The following is a 20,222-nucleotide window of genomic DNA, read 5'->3' on the forward strand; positions in this document are numbered from 1 at the left end:
TTATAAATATCAATTATATTTATGCTATATGCAAAGAAAAATAGATATTCTCATTCAACAAATATCTATTGAAAACCTACAAAAGACAGGCTGGGTAACATGATGGTAATAAAGCCAAACATGGCACTGCACTTTCAGAATTTAGAGTCAAGTGGGCTATATAAACAATTAATAGATAATTATAATGTTGACTTACAGAGAACTTATTTTATTTCCCCTAATCTAATGCTTTGAAATACCATTAGTAATAATATTAAATATTTATTGTATACCAACAATGTATTGAGTATTATCAGCACAAAGATTCAGCTGTTAATATCACATAGTACTATGATTTGAATGATGGTCCTTTCAAATTTCATGTTGAAACTTAATCCTTAATGAAACAGTATTAAGAAGTGTGGCCTTTGGGAAGTGATAAAGCTATGAGGATTCAATTCTCATGAATAAGATAGTACCCTTATAAAAGGGCTTGAGGATGAAGAGAGTACTCTCTTGCCCTTCCATTTCTTCTCCTATGTGAGAACACAGCGTTTCTCCCCTCTGGAAGATGCACGAACAAGGCACCATCTTGGAAGGAGGGAGAAACCTTCACCAGACGCCTATTATGCCAGTGTTTGATCTTGGACTCCCCAGCCTCCAGAACTATAAGAAATAAATTTATGTCCAGGTGCAGTGGTTCAGCCTGTAATCCCAAAACTTTGGGAGGCTGAGGCGGGAGGATCACTTGAGCTCAGGAGGTCAAGGCTGCAGTTAGCCATGATTGTGCCACTGCACTTCAACCTGGGTGACACAGTGAGACCCCATCTCCAAAAATAAAATAAATAAATTTCTGTTCTTCATAAATTATCCAGTCTGTGGTACTTTGTTATAGCAGCACAAACAGACTAAGACATGTAACTTAACAGCTATATCAGCCCGGGATAAGACATGAACATAAGGAAAATTGGATAGTAAATTTTAAAAAGTGACAAAACAACACAAATTGCCTACCTACTCATGTTTAGGTACCTAATCATGATTCAGGGATAGGCATCAAAAAGAGACTCGTGTTAAGCCAAACACATGAATGTTCTAATTAGGGTGGCTTCTTTAGTTTTTTGCTTTGTTTTTTTTTCTTCCAATAAAGGAGTTTGCCCCAGTGTTGTGGGAAAGAAAAAGTAATTCATTCTTCCTGTTTCTAACTTTCTACTCTCTTTCATGGCATAAAAAAATCCTATCTAATTTTCACATATTTGAATGAAACTCTTAGATCATATGTCAGAAAACAGTATTTACACCTGGTCTGAAATACCAATATCTGCTAGACCTCATCGTTCAGTTCAGAGATTCCTGTCAGCAGACACAATCTCCTTCTATCTACTAGTTCCTGCACAAAAGGCTCCCAAGGTCTCCTTCTGAAGACCACTGACACTTTACTCCAATGAAGAATGAAGAATTAGAGTCAATTTATTACCAGCAAGTTTGAAAACATCCCAAAGAAGTCTCTCTAATTAAGACAAAACAATAAAACAATATCAATAAAACTTGCACTTCATTACTTCTGCCTCTTTCATCAGCTAAAGAAAATCACATGGCTGAGTCCAGATTCAAGGGGGAGGGAAATAGCCCCTGCCTCTTTAGTGAGAGATATTTTAAAAATCATATATCACAAGGCGTGAATATAGGAGGGGTAAAGAATTGGTCATTAAGTTAATGTACCTTACCATTCTAAGATTCATTTCTATTTCTTTGATGATTTTATTCCTTTCAAAAAACATGTTTAGGGTTTGAAGAATTGCCAAGTACTTCATAAATATGGCTTATTATAAATACTAAAAATTATACCTGGGTTGTAATGAAGGAAAGTAGAACTTGTTTTTATCTTTTATCTTTAGCATCCTGGTCCTCTCTGCTGTTATTGGGTGCATAATTCCACTGTTCTCTGCATTTGGTAGAATGCAGACATCCAGGTCATCGCTATAGCAACTCTTCACAAAACTAGAAAAGGTAACATCTGAAATTTTAAAAATATGTATCATAATATTATATCATATAAACCACCAGCCACAAATATCGAATATACAACTAAATATTGTTATAATAATGTATACCCTAAGTTAGTTAAAGCTATCCAGGATAGCCTTAGGAGTTTACATACATCTTGATATAAAATATCAGTAGTTCTTCAATACATGGACATTGCATGCAACAGAGAAGAGTATTTCAATACGTTAAACCTTTAAGAGCAATATGGCTTTTCATTTGAGGCTTAATCAAAATCCATTCATTTTACAGAAAGACAAACCCACTGCCAGATAAACTAAGTAACAGGGGAGAGACTACAATGGTGGTACAAGAGATCTAATAGAAGATGAACTGCACCAGTCGTGTCACAACTTTGATTTTAACCCTCGTTGCTCAACCATCTACTAAGCAACTTCAGATGAGACACAACTTCTACATTTCAATTTCCTCACTTGTATAATAGGAAAAATAACACCTAACCAAGAGAGTTCTTATGTAATCAAGTTAAATAATTGCTGTGTTAGCCGGGAGTGGTGGCTTATGCCTGTAATCCCAACACTTTGGGAGGCTGAGATGGGAGGACTGCTTGAGGCCAGGAGTTTGAGACCAGCCTGGTCAAGATAGCAAGATCCCATCTCATTATATTCAAATTTTTTAAATTTTATTAAAAAATAATAGTTGTTGTAGAAAGCTCTTCAATATGTATAAAGCAGTGACTTTTGTAAGAAATTATAAACTACCATTGTGGCTATCAATACTCAGCAGGTTGGACAGCAAGCACTAGACCACAATGTACCTTTTTGTTGATAAAATTTCAGAATGCCATTAAAAATTTTATGCATGGATGTATGAAATGGCACTGCCTAGATAAAATAAAACATCCTACCTTGAAGTTTCATGATTCCTGAAATTGAATGATCATTCCTCACTTTGTGCCATGGCTCCTGAGGCCACTGATTTGGTTCTGAGGTGAATACAGGCCACAGAATACCAATTCGACCTCCTCTTGGATTGGAGGGAGCTCTATCTGTTGATGTCAAGTTGGCTGAGTGCGGCTTCACTTTGTCCTGAATGCAGTCAAAAGAAGAGCTGGTGGCCACAATGACTGAATTCCTAAGCACAATCTGCACTTTTTTGACGGAATTTTGTGGAGCAGAAAATACATACACTACTGCCAAAAGACCAATAGTATTGTCTACCAGAGTAATGTTCTCTATCTCCACGCTGTTCTCTACATGTAACATGGCACCATAGTCAAAGTTCTTGAAAGCCAAGAAGCCAGAGATTCTGGTACAGTTGTCAAGTCCACTTTCCTTATAGAGATGAAGGCCATGAAGACTTGAATGCGCCACATTGTCAGACCAAAGCAGTTCACAAGAGGAGCACTTGTGGCCTCGGATGTGAAAGCCAAGTCTCTCTGATCCTGCCACAACGTTGCCATGGAGGTTGATGTCCTTTACCTGGTTCACTTTGATTCCCGCCACCCAAATGGTGGACCACGCTGGCTGTGTCATCAGAACCACAAGGTTATTAGTGACAGTATAGGCCTGACCCTCTAAATCTATGCCATGGCCAGCTGTGCCAAACACAATATTGTCATTTAAAAGTACTCCATGACTGGCAGCTGCATGAATGCCCCCGCCACAGCTCTGGTGCAGAGTAGATGATATGATCCAGGATCCTGCTGACACATTACTGAATTCAACAGATGAGTACAATGGTGACCCGAAGTTCTGAATTTCCACATTAAGAAGTTGAAGGACACCTATAAACAAATGCATGTCATCAGGTACTTTCCTCTTCCCCACAAAAGGCTGAAGAATGGCCCATTTTGGGGCATTAAGATATGAACATTTTTAATGAAAATGTAAGTTTATTCTCAACACCAACATTATATTTCACACCATAGATTCTCAACTAAAAATGTAGGAATCATTACAAGTATCACATTAATGCCTGAATTGCATGTGCAGTCTGAAGAGTCTGGTGACAGGACAGGGAAAGATGAGAGGAGAAATAGGAAAGAGGCAAACTTTGGGGATGGGCATGGCCAAGTTTAACGATTCTGTGTATTTGTCGGGGGCCGGGTCAAAGAACTGGGTAAGAATAGATTCTGGGTTTCTGGCCCTTCACCTCAAAGTCAAGTCTCCCTCTCAGTGTCTCAGTGACACCACGTGAAAGGCCACAGCCATTCCCAAGAAGACACTGCACAAATGAATATTAAGCATTTCTGAAGAAGAGTATGAGTGCGAAATTTCCTTCTGCTCAGTTGATGTCCAGAAGCCTGATATTCCATACATGCTTCTGATTAAAACATGGTAGGAGCAATAACATGCTTTTAAAATCACTTTAAAGATTCTGTAAAATGTTTTCTATATTTTTATCCTGACTACACTTTATTCACTGTTTCATTTTTATAAGATTTTCTATATCTTTTATGTGAGGAGAAAATAGTGAATTATTTACTCTCATTTGTAGTTTTATTTGTACTGTTTTAAATAGATATTGTTAAAACACACTATAAAATACACCCAGTAAGTTGATTTAAAAATACAATGATTCAGCATACATACTTTTGGTAAAATTAATAATAACATGATTATAGATGAATTAATATGCAATAATAATGAGGTGAATTAAATACTTTAACTCTCACATAACACTCATTATTTGCAGACACCGTTCTAATTCTTATTCATTTATTTATTCATACTCCTAATTTTCAAAAAAATCCTATGAGGTAGGTACAATTATTATCCCCATTTTACAGATAAGGAAATTGAGGCAGAGAAGAGTGAACTAACAAACTAGGACTTAAACTTAGGCATATGGATGAGAAGCCGCACTATTAACCCCATGCAGGCATCCTGGAAAGACAGAAAGACTTTGTGGTACAAAAGTAGCATCTCTGCATTATGATTCAGATAACTGCCCTATAGCTATGAGCCAATAATTAGTTGTGTGTCCTTTGCTAGGTAGGTCACAACTTTGGCTCCTTTTATTTCATTTTTAAGGTACTGACTAAAGTAAACTATAAAGTTATTTATCTCATTAAAAATAAAGGAAGCAATACATTTGAAGTTTCTGTTTCACTGTTTCAATAATAGTATTAATAGTATTTAAGTTTCAAAGGCAGTACAGCCTAAACCCCTCATTTCTCCACTACCTTTTCAGAAATGAGAAACTAGAACCCTTGCAAATCGGCTGCCATGAAGAAGCAAGTCCTTTTGAGAAAGACAGGCTAAGTAAAGGAACCTATACGTCTACTTGGGGCCAGGCAACAGGATTCCGAAGTATCTAAATTTCTCAATGGGTGCTATTGAGGAGGCATTCGTAGATGGTGTGGACATATTCACAGAACAATAAAACATCCAAAAGCTATTTCTTGGGCAATATCCCTCACCAATAGCACATAGCTGAAAGAGCTGGCAAACCTGCTTCGTAGAACTTTGGCACAAAGAACACCAAATGCAAGCATAAGTCCATAAATAAATAGCTTATTTTTAGCATTTAATGTGATTTTAGAATCTCTGTCAAGGCAACATGTCAGTATTATTGTTATTTCCTAGGTTTCTTATAAATGATATTACAAGGGAGATAAATAAAGAGATGTGTAGGGCACGGCATGAGGGAAGGGCATGCAGCTCCCATTCCCTCCCCGGGTGCGCCACCTTAGTCTAGGAAGCTCCACATGTTCGGCTATCCAGAAGCTCTCAGGATTATTTTAATTATCAGTTTTTTTAATGTCTTATGCTTCCATGGATTTGATTCATAGTTTTAAACTGTACAAGGTCTTTTTACTGCTGTGCACATTAACCAATGACTGAAAATTAATCAATTAGTAAAGACTTAAAATGTCTTGAGCATTAAATAAAGAATTAAGCAATTTTTTTTGAGATGGAGTTTCACTCTGTTACCCACACTGGAATGCAGTGGCATGATCTCAGCTCACTGCAACCTCCATCTCCAGGGTGCAAGTGATCCTACCACCTCAGCCTCCCAAGTAGCTGGGACTACAGGTGCATGCCACCATGCTTGGCTAATTTTTATATTTTTAGTAGAGGCAGGGTTTCACCATGTTGGCCAAGCTGGTATCGAACTCCTGACCTCAAGTGACCTGCCCACTTCAGCCTCCCAAAGTGCTAGGATTAAAGGCATGAGCCACAGTGCCCAGCCTGAATGAAGCAATTATTTTATTCACAACTATTTTCCTATTTTTCCTTTTGAAAATCACTACTGAAAAATATTTCAGCAAGTTAAGTACAACTTGCTGGGTATTATTCAGGAAGAGAAGAATGATGGAGCCCTCCAATATAAAAGTAGGACTCAAAAGTCTTGGCCTGCTTTTCTGGTCTATAACAAATCAGTACCCATATCTGCCATCCCTGACCTACACCTGCAGATCCCTTCTTATTCAGGCCCTGGACTATGTTATAGAAAAATGTAAGCATTCTTAATGCAGGGTATAAACCTGAATTGAATTCTGGAACAGAAAAAAACTGATAAAATTTGAAGAAAGTCTTGAGTTTAGTTCATGGTCATGTACCAATGTTAATGTCTTTGTTTTGACAAATATACTAGTATTATATCAGCTATTAATGGAAGAAAATTGAGTGAAAGGTATACAGGATCTCTCTATACTACCTTTGCAGCTTTTCTATAAATCCAAAATTATTACAAAATTAAAAGTTTAATTAACAAGAACCAGGCTCGAATCTACCACTTACTACTTGAATGACTTTCCTTACTCTTCATTAATATTTTTCATTCATATTTATTAAGTACCTAATGTACAGCAGTTACCACACTAGGAAAACAGATGAAAGACCTATTTTTCACCTCAAGGAGTTTATAAGCTAATGAAGGAGCTACATAAATAAATAGGCAATTGTACTATAGACTCTATTTCCTGTAATAGGAATATAAATTTCTCTTATGAGGATTTTAGGATTAAATAAGATAAAATTTTCACTGTATGAAAACCAGCACAGTTTCTGGTCCACAAGAAACACAAAATAGAGTTTCTGTTTCCCTTCCCCAGGGGATGATTTAAGGATCAGCATTGTTAGAAGTTTAGGATCAGGTCAGTCTTGCTGCTGGTTCTGCTCTGGCTTGGTGCTCAGCTGTAAGAACTGGCCTTCTGTCCTGTTCCTGTGACCATGCTCCAGCTTGCCCTGTGGCTTCAGTTAACTGGGGGCTTATCTTGCTCTCTCCTTCCTGATTCCCCATCTTCCTCAACCTTAGAATGGGGTTCTTAAAAGAATGGTTCAATTCTTAAAAGATTTGAACCAGCCTTTGTCTCCATCATCTAGAGCAGGGTTCTCAACCTCAACACTATTGACATTTGGAGCCAGATACTCCTTTCCTATGGGTGGTCGTCCTGTGCATGCAAGATGTTTGGCACTACCCATACATGCCAGAAGCTCCCTCAAGTTGTGACAAGTAAAAATGTCTCTAGATATTGCCAAATATCACCTGGGGTAGCGGGCAGAAATCACCACTGATAACGGCTTATGGAGACAGAGCTTGCTCTATTAACTAGAAATCTTAAATGTCTGATTTAAGGTCCAAACACTGCCCTTTACAAAACTGGTAAAATAGTTGTGCCAACAAAGAGTGTCCCATACTGAATATATTTGGGAAGTGTTTAGATCCTTTATTCTCGGCCTTCTCCAGGCCTTTATATATTCATGTACACCACGATTTTATAAGTTGGAGCTACAGTGACAACCAAACTATTTGATCAGGAAAGAACTTTGGAATAATGTATAAGGAACACAAGTTTAAGAAACGAGGTCCTAATCAAATAATTTTGCAGCATTCCAAAAGGGCTAAAACTTGAAAGAAACAAGAAAGATTGAACTGATCCTTAAAGCAGTCTGAAATATGGAAATCATTTTTATTTAAATTTACGCTATTAATTTATAGCATGAACTGATGCCTGCCATCAGATATAGCATGCTACTGGGAAAGAGTAACAGAAATTCAGGAAAGAGATAAAATTGAAGTGGTCATTAAATCATCTATAATTTCAAAGCAGTGGAAATTTCACATCTGCTGAAGATGTTTTCTTTGAGGTAAAATGTGCATATGTGCTGACCACTAGTATATTATTTTAACATCACACTGATAATTAAGCACAGATTAGGACTGAAAATTCATAGCTTCTCCAAGCACAAAGGAACTATCTCATTTGAACATTTTGTTTTATAAATGAAAATTCTCACAGTTGGGATTTCTGGGTGTCCCAGATGAATAGGCTCCAACTGGTAATGGCCAATTACTTAAAATTTCATTTACCTGAAAATTCTTCTCGGCTGGACTTCCTGAAGGACCCCACAAACAGTCTCCCCCTACATGATACGTCAGGCTGAATTTGTATATTTCGGGTCAACAGTCCAACCTCAGCAGCCAAACGAATGTGTCGGCCATCCTCCGTGACATGTACACTTCCTGGGGCAATAGGAGTTGTGGGAAAAAAAAACTTTAAAAACCTGTTTCAAAAATCACTAGCTGGGGACCCAGCAAACCTGAGAAATGAAAACATCCTTTCCCCTCAGAAGTTCTACCAACATTAAGGTCTGCTTTTCCTGGGGCATTCTCCACAAAGGTCAGCTGAGAAATAAAATAACCCATTCACTTGTCTCTCTTTGGGATCAGAGTCAGAGTGTTTGAGCAAGAATTCATTTCTTCTTAATAACTGTGGGTACTGGAACAGGTCACTGGTTCAGGGAAGTCAGGGCAGACCTGTCCAATTAGTGGGGTCCCCAACCTGCCTTAAATAGGTCAGCGTGAGACTTCAGTGTTGGGTTGTACATTGTCCGTGGACCTCTTTCATGAGAGTGAGGAGTCCCACATCAACTGAGGCAGTGACAGAGCAAAAGCAGCTGTGTGTAAAAGGAAAGCGAGAAGCAGCACCAGGCAGCAGCAGCGCCCTCTCATGGTGGATCTTCCACTCATCACGGCCTGAACAGCTTCCACAGCAGTGGGAACTAAGCGTCTTGCTAGTTTGTTTCACTGTCTACCATTTGCATTTCACCTTGCATTTTACTGAAATCATTGCTGAAGATTTCTTTTTTCTTTGCCACTTACTAAAAAAGAAATGCTCCTGGGAACATTGATTTAGACAGAGCTTTAGATATTCCTGGTGAAACCATGGATTTGCCTCTCAAGTATCAGAGACAAAAAGACATTCTCCATCCCCTTTATTTCCACAGTTTATTACTGATTAGCTATATCTCCTGGATTAGATTTATTTATTAGACTGAATCAGGAAGGTTATTGTGATTTATTATTTATATGTAGTACATTCTAACTGTGTATTGTGTATAAAAATATTTGGTACCTTTTTTATTTAAAAAAAGGTCTGGGCTTTTTTCTTTCATTTTTTGCAGTAATAGTAATAGTAGTAGTTAATACATAAAATGTACTTCATGTCAGGAAGGACACATTTCTAAGTATGGAAAATGAAATCATTATTTACAGTAACTACAATATTCTAAGGGATTATAATTCAATGTGTCAGGAAATAAACTGGAAACTCAGTGCCCATAAGTTTTATTCTGGCTTAGCCAGAAAACTGCCCAGTGACCTTGAACAAGACTCTCAACCCTTCTGCTCTTAGATTTGCCATTATAAATAAAAAGCAAAATGTGTGTGCATGTGTATGTGTGTATGTGTATAACATCCAAGTATTCTTTAAAAATAAAGCAACAAAATTAATGAGGGAATAGAGATAAGGCCACGTAGCATGAGTCTAGGTCAACAGGAAGGCATTGTTCTTCCCCTCTGAATGGCAATCAGATCCGAGGTCCCCAGCTAGGTTACCAAACATGGTCTTCCTAGCTCATTCACTTACCTTAACCAACAAACCAAAGCCTTACCAATATGCCGGTGTTTGAGCCGTTCATAGATCCTCACATGGTGGCCCTTGACTTCTTTCACAGTGAGGACCTCTGCTTCATGAGGCTCATAAGAAGAGGAGCTAAGGACTATTTTGTCATGGGGGCGCCAATCCACTGCATCTTCTACTATAATTCTGTAACAGCATAACAATGGCATTGGATATACTAACAGTGCAGCACAAATCATCTATTAACTCCAGAGCAAGAAAAGGAAATCCACTGTGACCAACATATCCCACCAGAGAAACTGAAATAGAAATAAGACATGGCAGTGGAAAAAGGCTTTCGCAAACAGTTTAATTTAGCTAATGGAGTCAGTTTTCTGGCTTGAAAATGTATATGTTACAGAGACAGTGAAGATATTCGATGACCCCTGAAATACAGCAAAGGAATAAAAAACAATAAAAGTTCCAGAGGTTAGTACACATGTCTACATCAGCAACCTTCTTTCTGGATTAGGGAACAGATTCAATAATAACAGCATTTCAGAAAAGAACTTTTCTCTAATTTTCTAGAGAAATATAATGCCATTTTTTGACAACTTTGGACATTTTGGACAACTTTTCATCATGTGTTACAAATCCTACCTTCATGATGAAACAGATACAAGTGTGAATCGTAGAGGTGTCACTTACCAGCTGTGTGACCTTGAGAAGTCACTTCACTCCTCGGCTTCATATCCTCATCTGAAAAGGCTATATTTGTACTTTCTGTCTTCTCTTTCATCACATTATGAAACAATGAGGGTTGTGTTCATTTTTGGTATTTTTCAAGACACACATTTAATACAGTTTCTGTTCAGTCTTTCACTGCCGCCTAGCATTCCCTCTGAATATGACTGTTTTATTTTCTTCATAGTCATTACCAACTTCAACACCATAAATTTAATTGCCTGCTTCATTAGCTAATGCCCAAAGTTTAGCAAGCTTTGATAAAGAGTCTCCTCTATAGTGAATGTTCATTCAGACAACAGTGTCCATGTGCAGGGCATTCAATCATGCAACCTTTATTGACCGAGCAAATCTTATGCACCAGACAATAGAGTAGATGCTAGAGACATACGATAAATAAAACATATGTCATTTGTATTAAAATACATAACTTAAATTCTGCCTAGCACATATCTTTAAAGAGTCTACTGTATGGGTGTGTATTACACAGTATTCTGTGTAATACCATGGGAGTACATATTAATAATACAGATGTTTAATATATAGTATTAAGCCCCTAAAAGGAAACATAAATTAAACCTAATCATTTGCAAGCCAATGGCATGAGTCTAATAAATGAAATATTATAATTAATTCACATCTACGTACCTAAGGTTGGAGAAAGAGTCATAGAGAAGACAAAAAAACTACTATCAATTGATGCAACTTTAATGAAGGAATTTAGAGTCTTAGCTCTGTTCCTGATTTGCTATGACTTCCTAGAAAACTCCCAGTTACAGAATATTTAAGCACCACAAGCTTTGAAAGGCAAGGAAACTAAGTTCCAAATAGATTTAAATAACAAAATGTAAGACTAGATAAATACATGGAGCCAGTGATTGAATTAGGACAAAGGAAGACTACTGATAAAGTCCAGCATTTTTTCCACTAAATAATCTCACTTTGCCTGTCTTATTTTTAGTTCTTCAGGTGCTAAATGGTATTAGAAAAAGAGTATTCCCACTTTTCATAATCTATGAAATTATAAGAAGTCTATGATCCATACAATGGAATACTGTATAGCCATTTTTAAAGTATTTTGTTGAAGAGCACTGAATTACAAGAAATTTTGTTCATGATGTATTGATTTCAAAAAGCAGGACGTAAAATAATATGCTCCATTTTTTAATAAAATGATACATGCACAGAAAATAGGAAAGATGCATGTTAAAATGTTAGCCTACCTATGGATGGTGGGATTATTAGTGATTTTCACTTAAATCTCAATTTTCTAACTTATCAGGTAGTATATTGTAGTTAGGGAAAAAAAAGTCAATCTGCTGTATAATTGAAATTAATCCTTTACTTCATAGTTAGTATTTCTCAGTAGTCCCCAAGCTTTTTGGCACCAGGGACCAGTTTTGTGAAGACAATTTTTCCACAGGGGAGGTGGATTCGGGATGAAACTGTTCTACCTCAGATCATCAAGCATTAGATTCTCATAAGGAGCATGCAACCTAGATCCCTCACATACACAGTTCACAATAGAGTTTGCATTTTTATGAGAATCTAATGACCCCTAATCAGACAGGAGGTGGAGCCCAGGCAGTAATGCTCCCTTGCCCACCACTCACTTCCTGCTGTGCGTCCTGGTTCCCGATAGGCTAAGGATCTGTACTGGTCTGTGGCCCTGGGGGTTGGGGACCCCTGACCTAGACAATCTTTTTATTATTATTTATATTGTTGAATAAAGCTCTTCAAATAATAGGTCACTATAATATTCTGAGAAGTTTCATGTGAAAGTGAGATTAAAACTCATCCACATGAGATTTTTTAGGGCAATATTCTGTGTAATACTATGGGAGTACATATACACGATCACACATTTGTAAAAATCCATAGAACTGTTTAACATTGAGTGAACACTAATGCAAATTTAAAACTCATAAAGCTTCATTTTCTAACTTCCTTATATAAGCCATCTGCTCCAGCCAGATGAATCAGTTCACTCTCCCCTACTTTGCTCTTCAGGTCTCTCATTCTTGAAAACTGACACAAGTCACTACGGTCACTATGCCTTCAAGAAGTCTTCAATGGGAGTCTCTTTCCACTGAATGCCCAAAGCCTCCCCACTTTCTGTACCACCATCAATTTGACATAAAAAATGCTGTTTATTGCCTTGTGACTGGTTTTGTATTCTTGTCTTCTGTGACCATTCAACTTTTTTATTGTTCATTGATATTTAATAAAAATAAGACTATATAAGGCCAGGTACAGTGCCTCTTGCCTTATAATCCCAGTACTTTGGGAAGCCAAGACAGGAAGATCACTTGAACCCAGGAGTTCAAGACCAGTCTGGGCAACTAGAGTGATCCCATCTCTACAAAAGTGAAAAGAAAAAAAAAATGTAGCCTAGCATGATGTCACACACCTGTGGTCCCAGCTACTTGGGAGGCTGAGGTGGGAGGATGGCTTAGGCCCCTGAGGTTGAAATTGGAGTGAGCTATGATCATGCCACTGTACTCCAGCAGCCTGGGCAACAGAATGAGACCCTGCCAAAAGAGAGAGAGAGAGAGAGAGAGAGAGAGAGAGAGAGAGAAAACAAAGCAAACAGGAAAAAAATCACTATCTAAACCCCATAGCACCTAACAATGTTCTAGGAATTATTAAAATTATTAGTTCAAACTTTATATTAAAAACATAAATAAACTTAATCTGACCTTTTCTGTTCTGGCTTCCCAAACCTTATGAGTTCATTAAAATGTATCTTTCCTCTATACTCCTGAAGTCTTTCGGGTTCTATACATCATGAGAACCATACACAGATGTCAAAGGAGCATTGCCCCTTCCACGTCTATGTCCATATAGCAACAGTGGTAACTTCAGAGGAAACTGGGGTCTCAGTATCAATAGCCTAGTTGGTTCTGCTAGTCAAATGTCAGTTTTCCTTAAATTCCAACATCCACTATTCCTAGTTCCAGTCTTCAAACATTATGGTTACCCTTCAATCATACGAACTAGCTTAACGACTGGCTCAAAATCCCAGCTGTATTCTCTGTATTTTATTCCTCTGATTAGTATGACTCCTAGATCTTCAGGGAAGAGGGGAGACTTGCTTGTTGTTATGAGCAAAACATACCTCAAATAATAAATAAACAAAAAATTAAAAGACTTTTTTTCAACATAATTGTACCTAAATGGAAACCATATGAGAAGAGAGAGGAAATTATGAATAATCACTGTGGAAGTCTTTTTAAAGATAACTCTAAGAAAATATAAACAAAATATCAGTACAGTTTCTTTATTTTGGCATAACTTTTGACCTAGTTCAGAGAAAAATAATATTTACTAGACAAAAATATAATACTTATTATTTACAGAGAATTTAAAAATGCTTCAAAATTTGATTTAAAAGTTTTTACAAAAATGTGTAAGACATTCACGTGTAAACACCTACAACTTAAATGAATTTGTTAACTTAATACTTGTAAGATCTTAATGATAATAACTGCATTTGACCACAGGCTCAGAGTGTACATATCACAAAACATGCCCTGTCTCACCTGCACCTCCAGGAATAGGGATGGCCACAGATTTCTGAACTCTACTAATATTTAGTCTTTTTCATTTTGTAACTTCAGTTTAAAATTTTTCTATCAGTGCCATTAAAATGTAATGAGGATTCTCAGACTGTATTATTCTACACTTGATAGAGAAGAAATTGAATTCTATAATGATGCTGGTAAAGATGGTGAGTGACAACAATTATAGCTATAGTCAATACCAATTATTTGTCTACCTGACTTCCTCTCTGCTTCATTCCAGGAAATCCCTCACACCTCATCTGAGAACTGCTCCCATCCACTATACTGAAATCTGTGAGAGCTGCAGGTTAAAGTCCCACAAACCCTTCACCAAAGGCTGGGCATAGGATCCAACCTGCATTCATTCACCAAAATCTTTCCCCTGGAATTTTGAATGAAACTGAGGGGAATTAGTAGTAACCTCCTCACTGGTGGTATAGCTAGGAAAAGCCAAACAGATCTGAGTTCACTTGCACCATACAGAATGAAGAAAACTATTCTCCAGTAGAAAAAAAAGAGGTTGAAATAAAGAAGTAAAAAAGTAGAGGAGGAGAGGAAGGGCTTGATACAGTCTTCAAAATGGCTTAAGAAGGGTTACTTTTACTTGTACTTTCGACTTAAAGAGCCCCGATTGCCACAATAGCTGCCCTGTCTTAAGGCTTACACTGTGCCAGAAACTGGGCTTAACACCTCATGTGCATTAACTCCCTCAATCCTTATAACTATTCTATTAGCAATGTATTGTTACTCACATAATTAAAGAAAATAAAACTGAGGCTCAGAGAGAGTAATTTACTCAGAGTTACACCTTTAGCTAACCACCTAACTAGAATTAGTCTGCCTGCCCTCAAAGTTCAAACTCCTTTTCATTGCAGAATATATTTCCAACCTACCTTCCAAACATATGCCTTTCACCAGCATCATAATAGTAGTGAATTTGGCAATAGAACCCAATAGTTTATTGGACCTCTAACATATGAAAAAAAATCATCATCTTTTAGAGGTTACATATGTGATCCTGAACTCTTGCCAATGAGTGCATAAGGCCACCAACTCTATATTCTAATACTTAAACTAAGTTGTTATAATAATAAAGTTTGAGGAATGAGCAAAATAAATTATAGTAGTATTTGAAATTAAATTCAAGATTCTCTCATTTGTTAGATAATATGCCATTGAACCAAGAAGCTCAATAAGTTCTGATTTCTAGAAAATACACATCAAGTCAATGTAGCATGCATTTATTGGAGCCCTTCTTTATGTTCTGCTGTGCACTAGACACTAATATACCAAATCAACAATAACAAAAATATATCTCTCCCCTATAGAAGCCACTTGGAGGAACAGGACACACAAATGTTAAACATCTTAGTGTTATGCTTTTCTTAAAATTACAAATCATAAAATCACATCTTACGTTCAGATGATGGGAAAATTTGTAGAGTCGGAGATACCTAAAGTCCTGTGTCTGATGTAATGGAATCTTTAAGGATAAATAGGAAGTTATACAGTCAAGGAGGAGATGCAAGAATACTGCATCTGATACTCTTATTTCATTTATTAGGTACTTAAGGAGCCAGTACAAAAGTTGTTGTAGAGAGCCATGGGTGAAGTGCTGCAATGAGAATGTAGCAGATAGGAAAGAAAAAAGAAACATTCCAAACAAAATATATACAAAGAACACATCATTAATTTAACATAGGAGATAAAGGAATAGATATAATCAATTATGACATTCAATTTAAAGGTTTAGGGCCTGGAGAAAAGGATGAGGTAACAAATGACTTGATTTCTTATTCAGTTCACAGTTTCTTCCTTGTAAATAACAGAGTATGTTAATAAATCACTTCAGACACCTCATACCTGTCAAAATTACCAAAACAGTGAAAGATAACAAAGGTTAGTGAGGATGGAAAGAGAAGAGAACCCTTGCATACTGTTAGTAGAAATGTAAATTAGTACAACCGTTATAGAAAAGAGTTTGGAGGGTCCTCAATAATTAAAAATAGAATATGATCCAGCAATCCATCTTCTAGATATATATTCCAAGGATATGAAATCAGTATGTCTGAGATATTTGCACTCCCATGTTCACAGCAACATTATTCGCAAGAGCCAAAATATAGAGTCAATCTAGGTGCCCATCGACAAATGAATGGATAAAGAAAATGCAGTATACACATACACTCTGGAATACTATTCAGCCTTTAAAAAGAAGAAAATCTGGTCATTAGCATCAACATAGATGAACCTGGAAGACACTACGTTAAGTGAAATGATCCAGGCCCAAGAAGACAAATACCACATGATCTCACTTGCATGCAGAATCAAAAAGAGTGGAATTCACTGGACTAGAGAGTAGAATGCAGGTTACCAGAGGCTGCTGGTTTGGCTGGTGGTGGGGGGAAGCAAAGGTTGAAGAAATGTTGATAAAAGAATACAAAATCTCAGTTAGATAGGAAGAATAAATTCAAGAGATCTATTGTGCAACATAGTGACTACAGTTATTAATATATTGTATTCTTTAAAAATGCTGAGTGTGGATGTGAAGTATCCTTACCACAAAAAAAGATAACTATATGAGATAATACATATGTTAATTATGTAGATTTAGCCAATCCACAATGCAATACATGCATCAAAACATCATGTTGTACAGCATAAATACATAAAATTTTTACTTGTCAATTAAAAAATAAAACGAAATAAGTCAATCACTTGAGAAAGAAAGGATAACAGGACAAAGAGACTGGATGTCTTATATATTTTCTTGAAAATTCAATGAGATAAGAAATGAGAAAAAAATAAGAATTTGGGGGAAGTTTCCTCATAATCCAGCTCTTCTCCCTGTTTTCCCCTTCTCAGTAAATGGCAGCGCTCCTTACCTAGTTTCTTAGGTCAAAAATTTAAGAGTGATCTTTGACTCTTCTCTTTCTCTTTTCCTCAATATTCAGTCCATCAGGAGTCATGTCACTTCTGTCTTCAACATATATTTATCCACATCTTTACTCCTCCATCACTGCCATCCTAATCTAAGCCATCATCATGTGTTACCCAAAAAACTGCCATAGCAATGTCTTAACAGTTAGTGTCTCTATTTCCACTCTTATCTCTTCCTCATCACCACCACCAATAGTCAATTCTCCACACATCATAAATCAGATTAAAATATAAGTCAGGCTCTGTCCATGTCTCGTTTAAAATCTTCCAATGGCCAAGATAAAACCTAATCTTTATCATAAGATTGGTTGACAAAGTAACCATTTAATTTCAAAGATCACATGGCTACCCTTCAAAGACTCACAGCAAAAGATATACATAACATTTGTAATGGGTAAAAGCAATTTTTTGTGTCTAAATCTAACTTGTCTTGATTTATTTACAATCCAAATAAAACCTCAACAGTTTTGTTCATCAGTCTTCACAAGTCAACTCAAGCAAGCAACAACAGAGAGTAATTTAGAGATAAATTGATAAAACACAGAATAAAAGAAAATAATTTTTCTTCAAAATATCTTGCTAAGCTTACTTTGGTTGATTGTGTAAGATACAAGCTTATAAAGTTAACATGAAACTTTTCCTCCGAAGTTTTCACACTACCATTATTCACATATATATATATATATATTTTCAGGTATCAAATTCTTTTGGTGAAAATTCATGAAACAGTTCATCTGAAATATGCTTATATCACAATATATTAGAAAGACAAAGACTTATTGAATTGACTTTTAAGATTGTAGAGCCATGTTTAAAAAGGTGGCCTAAATAAGGTCTGTAGCTCAGTTAATACCGTACCAATATCAACTTGCCAGATTTGCTAATGTTCTATAGTTATGTAATATGCTATCATCAGGGAACACTGAGTGAAGGGTATATGTAAACTACTATTTTTGCAACTTATTTTGAGTCTGAAGTTATTTTTAACATTTTAAAAAAGGTTTTAAAGAGAAAGAATTCCATAAAATGAATATACTACATTAATTGCACATCATTTGTATAAACTCATTAAATTATTTCTCCTCAGGACTGATACTAAGAAACTTTGTTTTTAATATTTGTAATATGTAGAACACACGCAATGGAATCAGACAAATCAGGGTGAAAAATCCAGCCTCAGGAATTTCTAGCTTTATGAACTTGGAACATTTACTTAACTTCTCCAGCCTCAGTTTTCATATCCATAAAATGCAGATAATAATACCTAACTTATAGCATTGAAAGATTTAAATGAGATAATGTATGTAAAATGCTTAGTAGAGGCCTGACATATAACAAGCTTACATGATAAGAACCAAATAAATGGTAGCTAGTTAATGACTATGGATAGTTTTAATTAATAAAATTGAGTTCCTTTCAAAATAGCCTGTAGCTCAGACTCCAAATGAGGTTTTTAACACATTCTTATAAGAAAAATCCATTCATATGGTTCCTGCCAAATTCCAGCTTGCTAACCTTTTAATTATAATTAAAGTTTCTTATTGATCCTTGTTAGAAATGCTTACTTCACAAATCCTTTTGAATATCAGAAAAGCACTTTAAATTCAACATGACCTAATCTGAATTCATAATCTTTTCTCTAAACTTAGTCCTCCTCAAGTGAATGACACCACTATCCAGCTACACAAACCAGAAACCAAGAATGCACTTCATATTCAATGTGTCTTATAGGGTTTATCTCCTGCCTTTAAATCTGCCCACTTCTCCATTGCTCCTGCAGCCCCTGACTACAATTACACTGTCTCTTGCTGGGTGTCTCTGGATCTACTATCAAGCTCTCCTGCTGTCTACATTCTGCCTACAATATTTTAGATGTACAAGTATGATAATAAGTGTTACCTCCTATCCATACTACCCCCTTAAAAACCTACAACAGCTTCACAATGCTCTTAGGGTAAAAACTAAAATTCTTTTTTTTTTTTTTATTATACTTTAAGTTTTAGGGTACATGTGCACATTGTGCAGGTTAGTTACATATGTATACATGTGCCATGCTGGTGCGCTGCACCCACTAACTCATCATCTAGCATTAGGTATATCTCCCAATGCTATCCCTCCCCCCTCCCCCCACCCCACCACAGTCCCCAGAGTGTGATATTCCCCTTCCTGTGTCCACGTGTACTCATCTGACAGAGGGCTAATATCCAGAATCTACAATAAACTCAAACAAATTTACAAGAAAAAAATAAACAACCCAATCAAAAAGTGGGCGAAAGACATGAACAGACACTTCTCAAAAGAAGACATTTATGCAGCCAAAAAACACATGAAAAAATGCTCATCATCACCAGCCATCAGAGAAATGCAAATCAAAACCACTATGAGATACCATCTCACACCAGTTAGAATGGCAATCATTAAAAAGTCAGGAAACAACAGGTGCTGGAGAGGATGTGGAGAAATAGGAACACTTTTACACTGTTGGTGGGACTGTAAACTAGTTCAACCATTGTGGAAGTCAGTGTGGCGATTCCTCAGGGATCTAGAACTAGAAATACCATTTGACCCAGCCATCCCATTACTGGGTATATACCCAAATGACTATAAATCATGCTGCTATAAAGACACATGCACACGTATGTTTATTGCGGCATTATTCACAATAGCAAAGACTTGGAACCAACCCAAATGTCCAACAATGATAGACTGGATTAAAATTCTTGATATTGCCAATGTATGTGGCCCTGACACTTAACCAACTCCTTGGAACCCTGTCATGATCAGCCCCTACTCTCCACATCAACCATCATGGTATTCTTTCAGACCCTCATGTTCTCCATTCTCCCTCCCAACCACAGAATCACGTCTCCACCCTCTGCTTCTCAATCACCTGTGTTGACTCCTCAATATCTAAAAAGTTAGAATGCCCCCAATCTCAATCCCATGCTCCAAATCTCTCTTCTACCCATGTCTTCTTCAATAATGACATCACCTACTTCCAAGATGGCTGCTTCCAAGCCCTAAATTATGCATCTGATTTTCTTCTTGGCATCTACTCTTGGTGTCTCCAACTTCGCATGCCCCTGCTGCCTTCCACCCTGACAAACCTATTCCCCTCTCAGTCTTCCCAACTCAGT

At 36.7% G+C, this 20,222-nt stretch overlaps 1 protein-coding gene across 22 annotated transcripts in view; it reads right to left on the minus strand.

Moving 5' to 3' along the window:
- The window catches only part of PKHD1 (PKHD1 ciliary IPT domain containing fibrocystin/polyductin), a 472,317-nt gene that overhangs the window by 129,595 nt on the left and 322,500 nt on the right, over positions 1–20,222 (minus strand). For 19 of the 22 annotated variants that reach the window (XR_001743469.2, XM_017010944.3, XM_017010945.3 and 16 more), the window contains 4 exons: positions 9,891–10,045; positions 8,308–8,460; positions 2,894–3,772; positions 1,828–1,996 (listed from right to left, as the gene is read on the minus strand). Coding sequence is in view for 21 of the 22 variants with exons in the window: in XM_017010944.3 (XP_016866433.1) it covers positions 1,828–1,996; positions 2,894–3,772; positions 8,308–8,460; positions 9,891–10,045 (1,356 nt within the window). In the remaining variant the exon portion in view is untranslated. Of the gene's footprint in view, positions 1–1,827; positions 1,997–2,893; positions 3,773–8,307; positions 13,114–20,222 lie in introns of those variants that run through there. The other 3 variants (XM_011514688.3, XM_017010951.2, XM_047418895.1) reach the window with 3 other exon arrangements.

The sequence above is a fragment of the Homo sapiens genome, chromosome 6, assembly GCF_000001405.40.
Source record: "Homo sapiens chromosome 6, GRCh38.p14 Primary Assembly".
Lineage (NCBI taxonomy): Eukaryota > Metazoa > Chordata > Mammalia > Primates > Hominidae > Homo > Homo sapiens.